This window comes from Homo sapiens, chromosome 7, assembly GCF_000001405.40.
Source record: "Homo sapiens chromosome 7, GRCh38.p14 Primary Assembly".
NCBI lineage: Eukaryota > Metazoa > Chordata > Mammalia > Primates > Hominidae > Homo > Homo sapiens.
The window spans coordinates 128,865,970-128,881,420 of NC_000007.14; the positions used below are offsets into that span (position 1 = coordinate 128,865,970).

The 15,451-nt window shown below is 58.1% G+C and overlaps 2 protein-coding genes across 2 annotated transcripts in view, besides 3 other annotated features; one reads left to right on the forward strand and one right to left on the reverse strand.

Moving 5' to 3' along the window:
- Nucleotides 1–360: 360 nt before the first annotated feature.
- On the forward strand, nucleotides 361–6,078 carry SPMIP1 (sperm microtubule inner protein 1). The gene is made up of 2 exons (NM_001195150.3): nucleotides 361–861; nucleotides 2,697–6,078. The coding sequence occupies exons 1-2, from the start codon at nucleotides 441–443 to the stop codon at nucleotides 2,804–2,806; spliced, it is 531 nt and encodes a 176-aa protein (NP_001182079.1). The 5' UTR covers nucleotides 361–440; the 3' UTR covers nucleotides 2,807–6,078.
- Nucleotides 3,229–3,338: a silencer, noted in NCBI's record as "silent region_18617". NCBI's record gives its function as "represses an Ori minimal core promoter by ATAC-STARR-seq in GM12878 lymphoblastoid cells {active_cell/tissue: GM12878}" and the evidence as "EXISTENCE:reporter gene assay evidence [ECO:0000049][PMID:35858748]".
- Nucleotides 3,469–3,988: a silencer, noted in NCBI's record as "silent region_18618". NCBI's record gives its function as "represses an Ori minimal core promoter by ATAC-STARR-seq in GM12878 lymphoblastoid cells {active_cell/tissue: GM12878}" and the evidence as "EXISTENCE:reporter gene assay evidence [ECO:0000049][PMID:35858748]".
- Nucleotides 4,049–4,168: a silencer, noted in NCBI's record as "silent region_18619". NCBI's record gives its function as "represses an Ori minimal core promoter by ATAC-STARR-seq in GM12878 lymphoblastoid cells {active_cell/tissue: GM12878}" and the evidence as "EXISTENCE:reporter gene assay evidence [ECO:0000049][PMID:35858748]".
- A 4,817-nt stretch (nucleotides 6,079–10,895) lies between the features above and the next one.
- Nucleotides 10,896–15,451, reverse strand: part of KCP (kielin cysteine rich BMP regulator) — a 33,845-nt gene continuing 29,289 nt past the window's right edge. Inside the window, exons 32-40 of the mRNA NM_001366122.1 lie at nucleotides 15,028–15,116; nucleotides 14,650–14,752; nucleotides 14,417–14,559; nucleotides 13,944–14,116; nucleotides 13,749–13,860; nucleotides 13,553–13,654; nucleotides 12,589–12,753; nucleotides 11,515–11,821; nucleotides 10,896–11,342 (exon numbers count right to left, since the gene is read on the reverse strand). Coding sequence (NP_001353051.1) covers nucleotides 11,074–11,342; nucleotides 11,515–11,821; nucleotides 12,589–12,753; nucleotides 13,553–13,654; nucleotides 13,749–13,860; nucleotides 13,944–14,116; nucleotides 14,417–14,559; nucleotides 14,650–14,752; nucleotides 15,028–15,116 — 1,463 coding nt within the window. The 3' untranslated portion in view covers nucleotides 10,896–11,073. The remainder of the gene's footprint in view (nucleotides 11,343–11,514; nucleotides 11,822–12,588; nucleotides 12,754–13,552; nucleotides 13,655–13,748; nucleotides 13,861–13,943; nucleotides 14,117–14,416; nucleotides 14,560–14,649; nucleotides 14,753–15,027; nucleotides 15,117–15,451) is intronic.

Below are 15,451 nucleotides of genomic sequence, written 5' to 3' on the forward strand. Positions count from 1 at the left end.
GGGAGGCAGAACTCAAGGACTGGTCCTTGGATCAGAGAAGACCAGCTCTGGTCTGGGGAGGAATGGGAGGAGGCTTGAGCCCAGCTCCTGCTTCCCCCACCTTGCTCGGCATTGGGCTGGGAAGGGGGCCAGATCCAAAGGACAGAAGCAGAAAGCACACGAAACCTGGGAGTCTGTGATGCCAGATCCCGCGAGGGCCCTGCGGGAGTTTTGGGGGGAGCAGGGCTCTTAACCAGTGGGCCCTGGCCTCAGGCTGCCTCAGGAAGCCAGGCTCATGGGGTCTGCTGGGGGCATGGCAAGTAGAACCCTGGCCCTGTGTGAGGTGAGGCATGGTTGCCAGGTGACTGTGCCTGGGCAGCCACTCGCCGTCAGAAGCACTCTGCTTGCTGTGCTCACCCCTCAGCTGTGGCCACCCTGGTGCCACTCCTTCCCTGGCCACCATGTCACGGCAGCTCAACATAGACGCGTTACGGCAGAACTTCTGGAAGGAGGAATATCTGAGGGAAAAGATGTTGCGCTGTGAATGGTACCGCAAGTATGGGTCGATGGTGAAGGCCAAGCAGAAGGCTAAGGCTGCAGCCCGCCTGCCCCTCAAACTGCCCACCCTGCACCCCAAAGCCCCACTCTCACCCCCACCCGCCCCCAAGTCAGCCCCTTCCAAGGTGCCCAGCCCTGTCCCAGAGGCGCCTTTTCAGTCGGAAATGTACCCGGTACCACCTATCACCCGAGCCCTGCTGTATGAAGGCATCTCCCACGACTTCCAGGGGCGGTACCGCTACCTCAACACTCGAAAACTGGACATGCCAGAGACGCGATACCTCTTCCCCATCACCACCAGCTTCACGTATGGCTGGCAGCTGGGTGAGCCCAACCTCTTGGAAATCACCTCAAAAACAGAGCACTAGCCATGTGCTAGGGAGTGGGCATCCTGGTGAAGGGTCCAGACTATAAACAGAGCAAGGAGATGGCCAAGAAGTGTCGACACGTTCCACAGAACTAGGGAGTGGCGGTGGGCAGGGAGGCAGCGGCCACGTGCTGCTATTTATTGGATTGTCAGGAAAGGCCTTTCTGAGGACCCGAGGCTGAGAGCCAGATGATAAGGATGGGTTTGGATTTTATTTGTTGTGCAGGGAAGCTGATGGAGGGTTCTAAGCAGATTTCAAGAGTGACACTGGTGAACCTTTTAAAAAGTCACCCTGACCTGTATGTAGGCAGTGGCTTTTTCAGGGGAAATGGTAGAATCTGGCACATGAGTTGGGCATCTGTTTGGTTATCCTGTGGTAGTGGCCTGAGGGATCAGCAATAGAGCTGAAATCAATTCAGGATGTTTTGGGGGAAGACTCGGTGGAACTCACCCATGGATAGAATGTGAGAATAAGGGGAAGAGAGATCAATCACCCAGGTGTTTGTTTAGCTAAAGCTGCAGTGACAGGGAAGACTGGGAGAGGTCAGGGCTGGAGCGTGCATGAACAGGTCCTATTTAGCCATGTGTGTTTGGCTATGTTATGCTTGAAGTGTCTGTAGGGTGGCTGTGTCTATAAGTCTGGATTGAAGTCAGAGCTGAAGATGCAAATTCGGAGGTCATTGGAATATAGGTGCTTTTTTTTTTTCTTTTTCTTTTTGAAACAGTCTGACTCTGTCACCCAGGCTGGAATGCAGTGGCACGATCTTGGCTCACTGCAACCTCTGCCTCCCAGGTTCAAGAGATTCTTCTGCCTCAGCCTCCCGAGTAGCTGGGACTGCAGGCGTGTGTCACCACGCCCAGCTAATTTTTGTTTTTTTAGTAGAGACAGGGTTTCACCATATTGGCCAGGCTGGTCTCGAACTGCTGACCTCGTAATCTGCCTGTCTCGGCCTCCCAAAGTTCTGGGATTACAGGCATGAGCCACCGGCTGGCCTATAGGTGCTATTTAAATCCATGAGATCTCCTAGGGAGCTCAAGTTGCTGGAATCTGATGGGAGTGGGGGCAGGAGGGCTGAGCCAGAGCGGGTAGGGGATGTCATTGGCAGGAAGCCTGTCCATCTCGGCTGAGTCTTTTTTCTGTGAGGTTGAGTCAAGGCCATCAGCGGGGAGGGAGCTGAGCTGAGGCAGTGGAGTAACTAGAGATGAAGAGGAAAGGTGTGGAACAGGCATGTGCCAGGCAGGGCTGCTGGGCGATGTTGCTGCACGTCCCATTGCTGTCTGTGCTCATGAATGTCAAGTGAGACTCCTCAGCCCTGTACCCTTCTCCAGCTGCTTGAGTGTCTTGCAGAAAAGGTGGATGGTTGGGGATTGACTCAGTTGAGATTTTGCCCCCAAACATCCCTTTCCCCCAGGCCCCTAAAGGGGAAGTCAGGGAAATAACTTTCTAACAAAAGCAGGAGGCGAGCCCTAGAAGCGGGGAGCAGGAGGCCGAAGGAAATCTCATCTCTCCACAGTCTGTCCCTGTGACAAGCAGGCTAGGGTGGCCCCCCTCCCTGCAGGTAGAGGATCCTGAAGCTAGGGTAATGATGGCAGATGGCTGCTGTATCCTGGCATCCAGCCAGCTCCCAGTATTTGCCCATAGCTCCCATTCCTCCAAAGCACTTTCTATTTCTTCCCACAAAGTGGCTACTCCACTGACGGATTCCTAGGGCTGTGCAGACAGACAGGGCTCCCATGCTCTGCGTGTCCCTCCCTCAGGAACCCATGCTTGGCCTCTGACATCTTTTCCCAGGCCCCCCAGTGAAGCAAGAACTGGTCTCCTGCAAGATGTGCCGCATTGAGTCATTCTTCCGCAAGAACGGGGCCTTCGCACTGCTTGATCCCCGAGACCTGGCCCTCTGACCGTGGGCCAGGTGTGGGCTTAGGGGAGGGAAGAAGAAATAACAGGCCTCCTGGTGGGGCAAAGCTGCTGTGTGTGTCTGTGCCCCTCTGCTCTCCCTGTCCCTGAGGTTGCATTCAGGCCTTTCTGAAACTATCAGACCTGCAAGTTGCCCTCTTGCTTTTTCCGTAACCCTCATCACTTTAATCATCCCTTTGAGGACTCAGCAATGACCAGAGGGTGCTGGGAAGGGCGAGCACTACTTCGCAGGCACGGGATCCTCAGCACCAGGGGAACACAGTAGTTCCAGGAAGTTCTGGGTGTTCCTGGGGAGAGAGCGGCTTGTCATTTCGGAGGCCAGGGAAAGGGGCCTCCTGCCACCGCCACACCCCTCCTTGCCCGCCCCTCACCTGGCCCCGAGGGCCCGCAGCCGCTCCGTCCTCTCCCGATGCATTTGCTCCAGCTGCTCCCGCAGGGCGCGCCGCCGCCCAGCCGCGTCCTCCTGGCGGTGCGGAGCGCTGAGCGTCCGCGGCTCAGTGGGGCGGGCGGGGCAGCACCTGGCACACCTGCCCCTCGCGCCCCGCCGAGTCACTGCCAGAGTGCAGTGCGCTCACTTCAAAGGGACCCGGGCGCGCTAAGCTCGGCCCCTGCCCCGCGCAGGCTCCTTGTGGCCCCACCGCCTTCTAGGGGTCTTGCCTGTGGCGGGAGTTGAGCCGGACTGGGCGGGAGCCCCACGGGGTGAACCCGGCAGTGGCGGTTCCTGGCGATGTGGAGGCGTTCCAGGACCTGCAGAGGCGGCAGTCAGCGTCCGGCCGCCCCTCGGTGCCCCGCCCGCTCCAGGCAGGCCCCGATCCCGGCGTGGGGACACACCCGGAGCCGCTGCTGCTCACGGTCCCGCCGGCGGCGCTGCCGCCTGGCCGCGCTGTGCAGCTCCAGCAGCCGCTGCAGAGCCGTCACCTGCTGCGCCGCGCTTAAGCCCGCAGGCGCCTTGGCGGTGCTGAGGGGCGCCGGCCACGCGGCCTTCAAGGCCTTGGGACGCTCAGGGCCGCCCCACCCGACCCCGGAGGGCACCCGGAAGCCAAGCCTGGCCCACCTCCTGCTCCCCCGGTGCGGGGCCCACTCCAGGGCCCTGCAGCCCGTGCGGATCGCGCTCCAGGCCTGGGGGCCCCGGAGAGCCCCGAGGAGCCCCTGCTGCCCGGATACCTCGGCGCGCAGGGTCGCTGGCATCTCGGCTCCGGCTCCGCGACCTGGGAGCCGCCGCCGGGCCGGGGGCTTCGGGCGGGTAAGCGCAGCCCACGCCCCCTCCCGGGCGGCCCCCAGCTTTGCCACCGCCGGTGCCGACCTTTGTGGCTCGCCTTTGATCATGCTCTGCGTCAGCGTGGTAGTCCTTCTCCGGAGGTTTGGGCTCTCCCTGCCCACAGGCTTTGGAGTCTGTGCTTTCAGGGACCCGCAGGAGTCCCTCGGATGGCTATGGGGGTCGCCTTCCTCTGGGGGCTGCACAGTGGCCTCTCCGGGAGCCACCTCCCAGGCTTGTGAGATATTGCCTTCCCAAGACCGCAGCATCTTCTTCCCTGGACTCTGGGGACTCGCCTTTCCCTGGCACTTAGGACTAAATTCTCTTCGACTCCTCCCTCTGACCCTGAGGAGCCCTTGGGCTCTGGCCCCCGTGTGTCTTCACCTTCTGACTCTGAGGAGCATCTTTGATCTCGCCCCAGGAGGCCTCGGCTCTCTTACGCTGAGGGGTCTCCGCTTTCTGATCCTGAGGGTCCTCCTCTCAGACTCAGGGGTGTCCATCCTTGGTGGTCTTTGAAGTTCTGCTCTCTCCTGGCCCAGGTGCGGGTCCGAGCCCAGCCCTTCAAGGGCATCTTGGGAAGGCAGGTTTTGGGAGGGCAGGTCCCCCGGCCCAGGGGTCCCGGGAGTGAGCTTTCTTTTCTGGGTCTCAGGCTCTGCCTCACTCCTCTCTTCCCTCTGGGCCAGGTCCTGGAAAGGAAAAGCACTTTGGGCCCAGGTTTGAGAGGGAACCTGCAGACCCCAGGGGCCAGCCTTTGCCTGATTCCTGAATTTGTTAAAGCCATTTTATGTAGTGTGGAAGGTGCTTCACTGAAGAGCCTCCTCCTCACCCCAGCAGCCTCCTCCCAGGCAGACCCACCCCTGCCATCCCCAACCTGAGACCCTTGACCTTTTCACCTTGCACTCTGAGCTACCTGGCACCCCAAAACTCCTCCTGGTAGTGGGGTTGAGCTCTTGTAAGGAGCCTGAGGAAGAAAGACCAGTATTGGGAGCTCATGTCCCAGCCCCTCATGCACAGTTCACCTAGACTAGAGCCAGGAAGTTTAGGGAGTCCCAGTGCATGGCTAGGGGTGCCCTGAGGGCGCTGTCTGAACCTCAGGCTGTCACAGTTCATCAATCAGCCAGCCATGCACCTGTCAGGTGTGCCTGCCAACAGCCTGCCCCATCTTTCTCATCCTCCCAGCCAAGGCAGACCACTCCAGAGGGACCTGCACAGCCCCTTCCTCAAGACCACCACAGGAGGCCTGGGAGTGAGAAGGGTCACGGTGCTGGGTGCCTGGGTTCCTCAGCACCGGCCACTCCCACTTTGCCCTGGTGTGCCCATCAGGCCCAGAGAAGAAACCCGCTCTGGGCGTCTTACTTTTTACTCTTATTCAGAAAAACCTTCCTTAGCCTTTTCTTTGTTTCTGACAGCAAAATCAAAGGAAATTCAAGATGAAATTTTAGGCCAGAGCCTGGCCTAAAAACTGCAAGTGTTCATAATTAACAAAAGAAATCTAAAAAAAGAGATGATGTGTTGCCGCTCCCCTGCAGCTGTGGAGGAAGGAGAGCTGTTCTGCATCCATAAAAACCAGTTAAAAGGGATTTCATAAGGTCTGAAATTGAGAACTTTCCCAAGAATACTGCATCTTGTTCTCTTGTGCAATATACAGACGTGTGAATATTCCTAACAGTAACCAAATGGGTGCACTCTCTGTGAAAACGCATCTTTCAAAGAGTTTTTTAAACAAAGGAGACTCCTGGGCCTTTAGAAATAATTGCCACAAACTGCAAAAACAATCTCCAACCTCCCACTTCTGTAATTCTCATCTGTTGTCTTACTAGAAAATTTATTTCTCTGGTAATAATGTTATAATTGATATCCCTGTCTTCTCAAGATGTAAAATACTTGTAAAAACTTCTCTGTCCATCAGAAAATAATTATTGGCACTTTTCTTCTCTCTCATGTGCATGATGGAACAATAAAAAGCTTATGGCTTTGCTAGATCTATTATTTAACAAACAATTTGAGAGTCTGTTTCATTTAAATTAATAGGCTCAAGGCTCACAGTATCCATTCCGCTGCCTGTTTATTGTCATGCTATTTCTAGCCTGTGATCTAAAGACAAGCACCTAGTCTCCTTGTTCTCTGTATATCTCCATTGCCCAGCTGAAGGGTGGCAAACAGGTGGCCTGTGCCTGGCTGAAGGGTGGCAAATAGGTGGCCTGGAGTTGGTATTCTGTTCCCTCATCCCCGGGCAGCCAGTGATGCTCATTCCTGAACTTTCTCCCCTGAACCCCAGTTTAGCATCAGAATCCTACTGGACACAGTGCCTAAGACAGCTGGTACCAACCAGGTGGAATTGGCACATCAAATAAAACCTACTTGCCATCGCTGGGTGTCCCGGCATTCCCATCAGGAAGTGTGAGATGACGAATGAGTGAAGAATGAAGTCCTGCGACTTGGGGAGAGGACTTTCCTGCCTCATCCCAATCCAGTCTGGCTGCCCCAGCCCCAGGGGCCCCCTGCCCTCCTGGCTGTCTGATGACGTACCGCGTGTGGGCTCTGCAGGTCCTCCAGGGCTCTCCCACCCTTGGTCTGCACCACTCCCGGTTTCACCCAGATCTGGGGCTGATGAGAGGTCTCCGGCCTGCCCCCTACAGGAGTTCAAGGGCTACCTCTGATGCACCTCTCTGGGCCCATCGGCTCTGGAATGGGAGGGAGTCTGCCTGCCAGTCTCCCGAGACCCCCACCCCAGCATCCAAACACTTGAGTCCCGGGTGGCCGCCCCCAGTACCCTCCCTCCTCCCCCATCACCAGATCCTGGGAGCTGGAGTTTGGAGGTTAACCTTTCCAAGGGCTGTGGGGCAACCATGGGTGCAACTAAGAGCCCAGGAGGCGTAATGAGGGGCACCGGGCAGGACTGCAGAAGGTGACAGGGAAAGAGCCCAGTTCACAGAGGGAAAGGCAGGATTCCCCGGGGAGACTCACCCCTCCAGGAGCTGATGGTTCTGGCTCAGGGAGTCCCTGTCCTGGGGTAGAGGATGCAGCCTAGAATTTTGGAAGGTTTGGGGGCACCCTAGTCCACAGGGCTCCATCCCCCAGTGTGGCAGCCAGCCTCTAAAATGGCCCCTAAATGATCCCTGCCTCCTGGAATTCATGCCCTCTGTGACCCCTGCTTCCCCTCCATGCAAAGGAGCTTGGAAACAGATCCCTCCTGCCCGGTTGAGCCTCAGATGAGACCACAGTTCTTTCCAGCGACGTCGGCTGAACCCTTCCTAAGTTGCACCACGAACACCCCTCCTGCTACAGTGGAGAGTGCCTTGGCCCAGAGAGGGCTACCAACCTGCCCAAAGTAACTCAGACAGCTGGTGGCTGAGCCAGGACTGGGACCCACATTCCTAATTCCCAGCTCTGTTCTGGGCCCAGTCACCACAGCACCCCCCTCCTGGAGGCTCAGCCCAGCTGCAGCCCTGGAGGGAGGGGCCAGCGGCTGGGGCTCTCAGCCCCTGTGTCTCAGGCGCACACTGGGCATCAGTGCCTTTGCTCTCTGGGGCCCTGCCAGGCTACTTTCCTCCCACGCTGCGGTAACATGGAAAGGCTTCCAGATATCACCACACAGGTGATTTGACCAAGACAGTTGTTAACTGTGGAATGAGAATAACGGCCTGCCTGGAAAGAGCAGGCCCTGTGTGCCAGGCATAGCCCATGAGTCCACTCTTCCTCCCGACAGCCCTTAGAGAAAGATCTCTTCTTGTGGGCGTTTTCTTTTTTTTTCTTTTTTTTTTTTTTGGCCGGGGGGCTTGGGGGAAACGGAGTTTGGTTCTTGTTGCCCACATTGGAGTACAATGGTGCGATCTCGGCTCACTGCAACCTTCACCTCCCAGGTTCAACTGATTCTGCTGCCTCAGCCTCCTGAGTAGCTGGGATTACAGGTACAGGCATATGCTGTCACACCTGGATAATTTTTGTATTTTTAGTAGAGACGGGGTTTCTCCATGTTGGTCAGGCTGGTCTCGAACTCCCGACCTCAGGTGATCCGCCCACCTCGGCCTCCCAAAGTGCTGGGATTACAGGCGTGAGCCACCACGCCTGGCCTCGTGGGCATTTTCTAGCTGAGGAAAGGTAAACTCAGAGCCCACGGGGGTGGTCAGTGTGGAGATTCAAACCCAGCCCTGTCTCTAAAACCCTGCCCCTTCCGCTTGCCCTCACCACAGCAGGGCCCCAGTGTTCCCAGAACCTCTGTCCCCGCCGTGCCCCCTCACCCACTCACCGGCTGCTCAGGGTCCCCACCTGTGCTACCACCTGGCTGACAGCACTGGCTCCATGCTTGCTGGGCCTGGCCCCTCGGACCGAAAAACTGGGCCTGGGGTGGCCAGAAGAGGCCCAGCTCCACACCAGTCAGCAGTTCCAAGTCCCACAGGAGCTGCAGGAAGATGGGGTGCCAGGGCGTGAGGGGGCACCCACCCTGGCCTCAGCCACACCCCCAGCCAGCCCTTACCTGCTCCTGGGCCCGCCGGCTCCACTCCATCTGCAGCAGTACAGGGGGCAGCTCCAGCCCTGGGGGATACCCGCGGCCCTCTTGCACCTGGAGGGGCAAGATGGTGTCAGGTCCCCGCCTGTCTCCTTCCTTCTGAGGCAGTGCCCCTCCCTCACCTGCCAAAGTGCAGCCCTGAGCTGGCCTGGGCTTGCGGGGCACCAGAAGAGATACTGGTACAAAGCCAAGGCCTGTCTGGGGCTGCAGGGGAGCCCTGAGGCCCCCGGGGTGGCTGCCTGCACCATGCGGAGCCTGGAGGGAAGCGGAGGACAGGAAACCAAGAGCCAGGAGCAAGGAAGGACAAAGGCTCTGATCTCAATCATGCAGGGCCTGACACCTGAGCCCTGGCTGGACGGCGGCCAAGCCTCATAGACTCTGACCTGTCTCTGAGATGGCTTTTATGGCCCTACAAGTGGCAGCGTGGAGTGAGCAGTGTGACCCCGAAAGAGGGAGGTATACGCATATGCTTGTTTACAGCCCCCAGTGAGCATTTGTTTGACATATACTGTACAAGCATACATATGCACATCAACCACACAGCTGCATTATTTGGGCACACAATATGCCCAATATGGGTAGCAACAGCAGCCGCTACCAACAGTTTAGCTTGTGCGGGAATGAAGATGCTTCGTACATATAATCCTTCCTTGCAGCAACTCTATGAAGCAGGCTCTATTATTATCCCCACTTTATAGGCAAGAAGACTGACTCAGAAAGCAACTTCTCCTAGGCCAAGTGTGGTGCTTCACATCTGCAGTTCCACCACTTTGGGATGATGAGGTGGGAGGATGGCTTGAGCCCAGGAATTTGAGACCAGCCTGGGTGACATAGCAAGACCCCACCTCTTAAAAAAAAAAAAAAAGTTAGCCAGAAGTGGTAGCACGCGCCTGTAGTCACAGCTACTTGGGAGGCTGAGATGGGAGGATTGATTGAGGCTGGGAGGTCAAAGCTGCAGTAAGCTGTGATCGTGCCACTGTATTCCAGCCTGAGTGACAGAGCAAGATCCTGTCTCTTAAAAAAAAAAAAAAAAAAAAAAAAAAGGAATAGCTTGTCTTAACATGTGGCAGCATTTTTTTCTTCTGGAGATGGATGGATGTGATACCCTCTGGGAAGACATGGTCCCGGGAGCCCAGGCCGTCCATCAGCAAGAGGCGAGTGGTAAGAGGCCCTGCCCCAGCGAGCACTACCCACATGCTTATCCATGCTGTCCACCTAGTAAGTGCTGTCCATGCATCACTGTTCATTCCCCAACACATACCAGACGCTTGTTACTATCATCCTCATCTCGCAGATGAATAGACAGGTCATTTAAGTTATCTAATCAGGAGAGGGGCTGAGTGCAGGAGCTCTGCCATCTTTACATCCTGCCCTGTCGTGAGCAGATTTGCCTGCTGGCTACTTTGTCCCCATTCCGTGAGAGAACAGAGCAGACCCTCCTCTTGGCCAGAAGAGAAAACAGCGTCAATGAAAGAGCAATCAGGCTGAGTGGCCTCCAATTCAACCTGGCGCTCTTTTGCGTCCTTGCCTGAGCACAAAGCCCTTCACTCCCTGTTGGAATAGCAGGGAGCAATGAGGATGGAGTCCCCTGACCTCATGACCAAGGTCCCTAAAACACCAAGGTCACAGAGCTGGTAGGCAGCAAAGAAAACTTGAATTCTGGACTTTTTCTATCTCAAAACCCATGTTCCCTCCCTACAGTGACGTCTTTACATGCTGCCAGTGTCTACTGCCCATATGTCTGCCCAGGGTGGGTGTGGCTGTGAAGGCAGGCAGGTATGCATTGCACGTGCTTATCTGGGTTTCTGAGGGATGTGTGTTTCTGTGTGCACACGCAGGTACATGTCCACACTGCATTGTGGTCTATTGCTTCTGTTTCTCACCCCAGGCATAGGGTCCCTGTGTCACTAGCTCTCAGAGTGGCCCAGAAGGTGCCTGCACACTCAGTATCCCCAAGCCACAAGGAAGGGGGAGGCCATTCTCTGATGCAGCCCCTTCTCCGTGGTTCCTCAGCCCCTGCAGGATCCCACATGGATCCACAGAAGGTACCACATGGGGCCACACGTCATGCCTGCTACACAGAATGAGCACAGGGCTAAGACCAGGGCACCAGGGTCCTCCTTCTACCCACTGCAGGGTTTCCCAGACAGCACCAGGGAGTGGCTGGGTGGGGCAGCCCAGGCATGCAGGTGCAAGGAGTAAGCATGGTGCCGTGATTCTGCGGCCACTGATCACTGGACCCCATGTTCCTGGCAGCCCAGCCTCTGTCCCAGCACCAGGAGGAAATACACACACACACAAGGAAGCCTTCGGGCAGGCCTAGAGTTTACTGCTGGTGACTCAACATGGCGGGGGTCTTTGCAGGGCAGGGGCCCAGGCTCCAGTGTCCAGGCAGGGCATTCTCTCCATAGCCCTAACCAGGGTGGGAACTGCTCGCCAAGGGGAGACTCCTGGCCTGATGAACCCTTATCAGGCACTGTCCTGGCTCAGGGTGTCTCCTGGGGCTCCCGGCTGGGGCTGGGCCGAGCACCAAGTGGCTGGTCTCCAGTGAGCAGGACTTGGGGGCAGGCCTCGGGTGGGATGCAGTGGGCCTCATGCTCCACCAGGCCTGCAGGGCACTGGCAGCCGGGCACGCAGGGCCTCACGCAGTGGGCTGCCAGCTCCCCCAGGGGGATATGCTGATTGAAGCAGGTGCGGGGACAGGGTGGGCCGCACTCATCAAACACGAAGCCACGCTCCAGGGGGCAGCCTACCACTGCAGGGGGAGTGGGAGGCGGGGTTACCAAGGCACCTGAAACTGCCCCAGTTGCTGTGCGTACCCCTGCGAGACTCGCCATACCCGGCCTGGTCCTGCCCTGAGCCCTCCGGGCTGCCCTTCTTCTCTGTGCTGAGCCTCCCCCAACCTGCAGCGGGCATCACCCCCTCACCACACAGCGTGGGGCCTCGCCAGGTAGGTGTCACTCCTGCCTGGCGACAGTGACTGGCGTAGGCTTCCAGGGCATCACAGAGGCAGGCATCAGCGGAGGAGCCAGGGCCACAGGCACACAGGTCATACACACAGGCGGCAAAGAAGGGCTCCGGTGGCACCACAGCATGGCAGCGACTGAATGGGGAGGACTTCAGCACCCCACACCGGGCATTGGCCTCACGCCTGGCACGGTAACCTGCTGCCCGGCACGGATCCACCTCTCGGCCTGCAGAACAGGGCCGGCCAGGCCACAGCCCCTCTGAGACCTGGGTGGGGAGAGCAGCCCTGACGTGACAGCACCACTGGCAGCTGGCCTCTGCATGCCGTGCTCTTCAAAGCACTTCCCACCCAGTCATTTGCTTTAGTCCCCAAAACCTCCCTAAAAGAACAGCAAATGAAGTACTGTCTACCTTCTTTTTGTCCCCATTTTACAGAAGGACAGACCAAGGCCAGAGTAGGTCAGCACTTGTCCAAGGTCACACAGCCAGTGAGTGGCAAAGCAAGGCTTGAGGGTTCAGGTAACAAGCCTTCTTTTTTTTTTTTTTTTTTGAGACAGAATTTTGCTCTTGTTGCTCAGGCTGGAGTGCAGTGGCACGATCTCAGCTCACCACAACTTCCACTTCCTGGGTTCAAGTGATTCTCCTGCCTCAGCCACCCGAGTAGCTGGGATTACAGGCATATGCACCACCAGGCTGGGCTAATTTTGTATTTTTAGTAGAGATGGGGTTTCTCCATGTTGGTCAGGCTGGTTTCAAACTCCCAACCTCAGGTGATCCACCCACCTCGGCATCCCAAAGTGCTGGGATTATAGGCATGAGCCACCCTGCCCGGCCAATGAGGCCTCTTTTGACAAGCCACCCTACCTCTCCAGCACCAAGACAGGCAAGAAGCCCCCACACCTCCCTGAAAGCCCAAAAGCCTATCTTGTGTGACTTCGCCCCCCTTCCCTGCTTTCCATGCCAGAGGGTTGCTCTGAGACTCATGCTCAGCTGCGTCTCCCCTAATCCCCATCCCCGGTTCCTGTACCACTCACCTGCCAGCTATTCCCAAACGCAGCCTCCGAGGGCAGGAGCAGCCCCTCAGGGCCCTGCAGATCGTCCTGGGCAAAGCCATTGAAGTTCCCACAGAGCCCACAAGTCCGGCCCTGGTAGGAGCCAGGTACGCTCACCTCCACCTGGGACTGCCCATCCCACAGCACCTGTGTGGAGAGGCCTGAGACTGGGGAGCAGGGAAGGACAGGGGCCTTAAGAAGCCCAGGGTCCATCATGGCCCCAGGCACTGTGTTCAGTGCGGCCAGTGCTGTAGGGGAGGAGAATGGACAGGTGGAGGCTCCCCTTGGAAGAAACACCACCCTGGCCAAGGCCAAGTGGATACATTCTGTGCCAGCCCTGGGCAAAGACAGATGACAGGAGGAGCTGCCCACAGCTCCTGCATGAGGGCACCTTCTCCTGCTGCCATCCCTGCACTGGGCCCCAGGTGAAATGCAACCCCCTTCCGGGGATTCACTTTCTCATGGGCATTCGGGCCTTGCAGAGGACAAAGCACAATTAGGGTCCGGATTAGAAGTGTACACCCTTATTCTACGAATTTACGAGTTGTGTTTCCTGCTGGGGGCAGGGGGCAAATTACTCTTCCACATGAGAGTTGGAAGGAACCTGAGACACCCCCCCAGGAGACTTCAGCTGACATCCTCCCCACTGCCACTGACCCTTCCCATTCCCCACTTTACAGACGAGAAATCTGTGGCCCAGAGGAGGCTGGTGGTGGCTTAAGAGGCTGAGCCGAGATTAGAAATCGGGCTCAGAACTCAGAACTCCTCTGACTGCCTGGGGAGATCTCTGACCCTGATCCACCTCCCCTCACACCCCTGTACCCCACTCCTTGCCTTTTTTGGCTAGGAGGTAGCTGGCATCCCCACCCCCTCTACAGATACAGAGGCCTAAACAGGACTGAAGCTCCCAGCAGGCAGCCCACCCAGACTCGCCCTGGAGCCGCACCTGGAGCCCGGGCTGGGCGTGCAGGATCACAGTGTGTCCTCGCAGCTCCACATACAGCAGCGGCTCCTGCAGGAAGGGCAAGGCCACCGGGTGCCCATCCACCTGGAGGATAAAGGAGGTGGGAGGAGGGGTGATGTCGAGGCACATGGGTGGACAGCACAGGATCCACCTTCCTCCACTCCTCGGCTTTGCTCACCGTGACTGCCCCGTCCTGCAGCAGCCGCACGGCCATGTCTCCCAGCAGCACCGCCACCTCCTGGGTCCAGGCCACACCGCTCCGGCCCCGGTCATCATTGGTCACGTGCACACTGTGGGCAGGAAAGTCCCAGGTGCCAATGGTCAGCAGGGCTGGGTGTAGGGGTTGGGGAGAAGAGAGACAGGGGATGCACACCTGAAGTCCCCGCTGTGGCAGTCCTTGGCCAGCACATAGCTGCAACTGCCCTGGAAGTGCAGCAGGCGGCCGTCGAAGGTGCGGTAATGGGGGTCTCCGAAGGCCATGCAGGAAGCGGGCCGAGGCAGGCAGCGGGGGCAGCAGCTGCCAGGACTCAGGGCAGGGGCCTTGTCCTGCACTCAGCCCCAGACACTGTCAGACACACCGCCCTCCCCGCCATGCCTCTCGCAGACCCTCCCAGAAAACCAAGCATCTCCCAGGAGTCTCCAGGGATCTCCAGGACTCTGGCTCCCAGGCTCCCTGTGAGTGAGGTCAGGGCACCACATCGTGGTCGCACTGGGAACAGCACTGTCCCCAGCTCCCAGCTGGCGGCAGGAGCCCAGCCTCCCTCTCTGATGCCTGGTCACACCAGGATGGCGGTACCATGTGCCCCCACCCTGACCCTCCCCACCATTTTAGATTGCGGCACTCACGGGGCCACACGAGAGCGGTGAGCAGCGCTGGCTCTGGCAACGCACGGTGCCCGCCATGCAGGAGCAGCTGGTGCAGGTGTCCACAGTCCAGCGCTCTCCAGAGGCCACCTCACGGCCCTGGTGCACGCAGGACTGGGTGGGAGCTGAAGGGATAGGAGCTGGGAGGGTCAGCTGCTCCTCCCACATGCCCAGAAGGTCTGGCTTACCCCTCCCCCATCACCCTGGCTGCGCACCTTGGCATCGCTCACAGCAGCTGTCAGCCTGGGGCACCTTCGCCCAGCCATGGGGGCAGGAGAGGGCCTGGCACTCCTCGAGGTGGCACTCCACATGGCCCCGCTGAGGACAGACATCATTGTTCTGGGGTTTTCTGCAGGGCCGGAGTCCCCAGCCTCATGCTTCTGGGGGCCTCTGGGCATGGACTTCTGCCTGCCCCTCCCACAATACATTCTTCACAGTTCAAGAGGGGAATGAAATCCAGCCTTCGGCTCCATGCCCCGGTGCAGGGATGCCCCTGACCCTTAAAGACCCCATATCTGCTGGTGGAGTGTTGGACACTCCTCCCTTTATCCATCTGCGAGATCCTCCACCCTCCCAGGCCCACCCCAGCTCACATGGCAGGTGCAGGCGATGCACGCATTGCTGGGGTCCCGCCAGCTCTCTCCATCTGCCACTCTCCGGCCCTCGGCCTCCACCACACATTCTGAGGGGGGAGACATGGGATGGGCAGGCACTGTCCCTCCTGCTGTATCCTCCCTCCTTGGAGCTTACCCAGCATTTCACGGCAGGAAAGCACCCACTCCGTGTCCCTACCACCCTGATGGTGTTGATTTCTTCAGCCAATATCCACAGGGCCTATTAGACATCAGGCCTCACATCAGAGCTCAGGATGTCTCTAGGGTCCTAGGAGCCCAAAGGGCCAGAGGCTGGAACCCCACTCTGGGCCAGCTGCCCGCTCAGCAGTGCAATGCCCTCTTCATGGGCCTGGGGATCCTGAGCCCCCTGACAGGCATCAGGCCAGACCTTGAGAATCTAGGC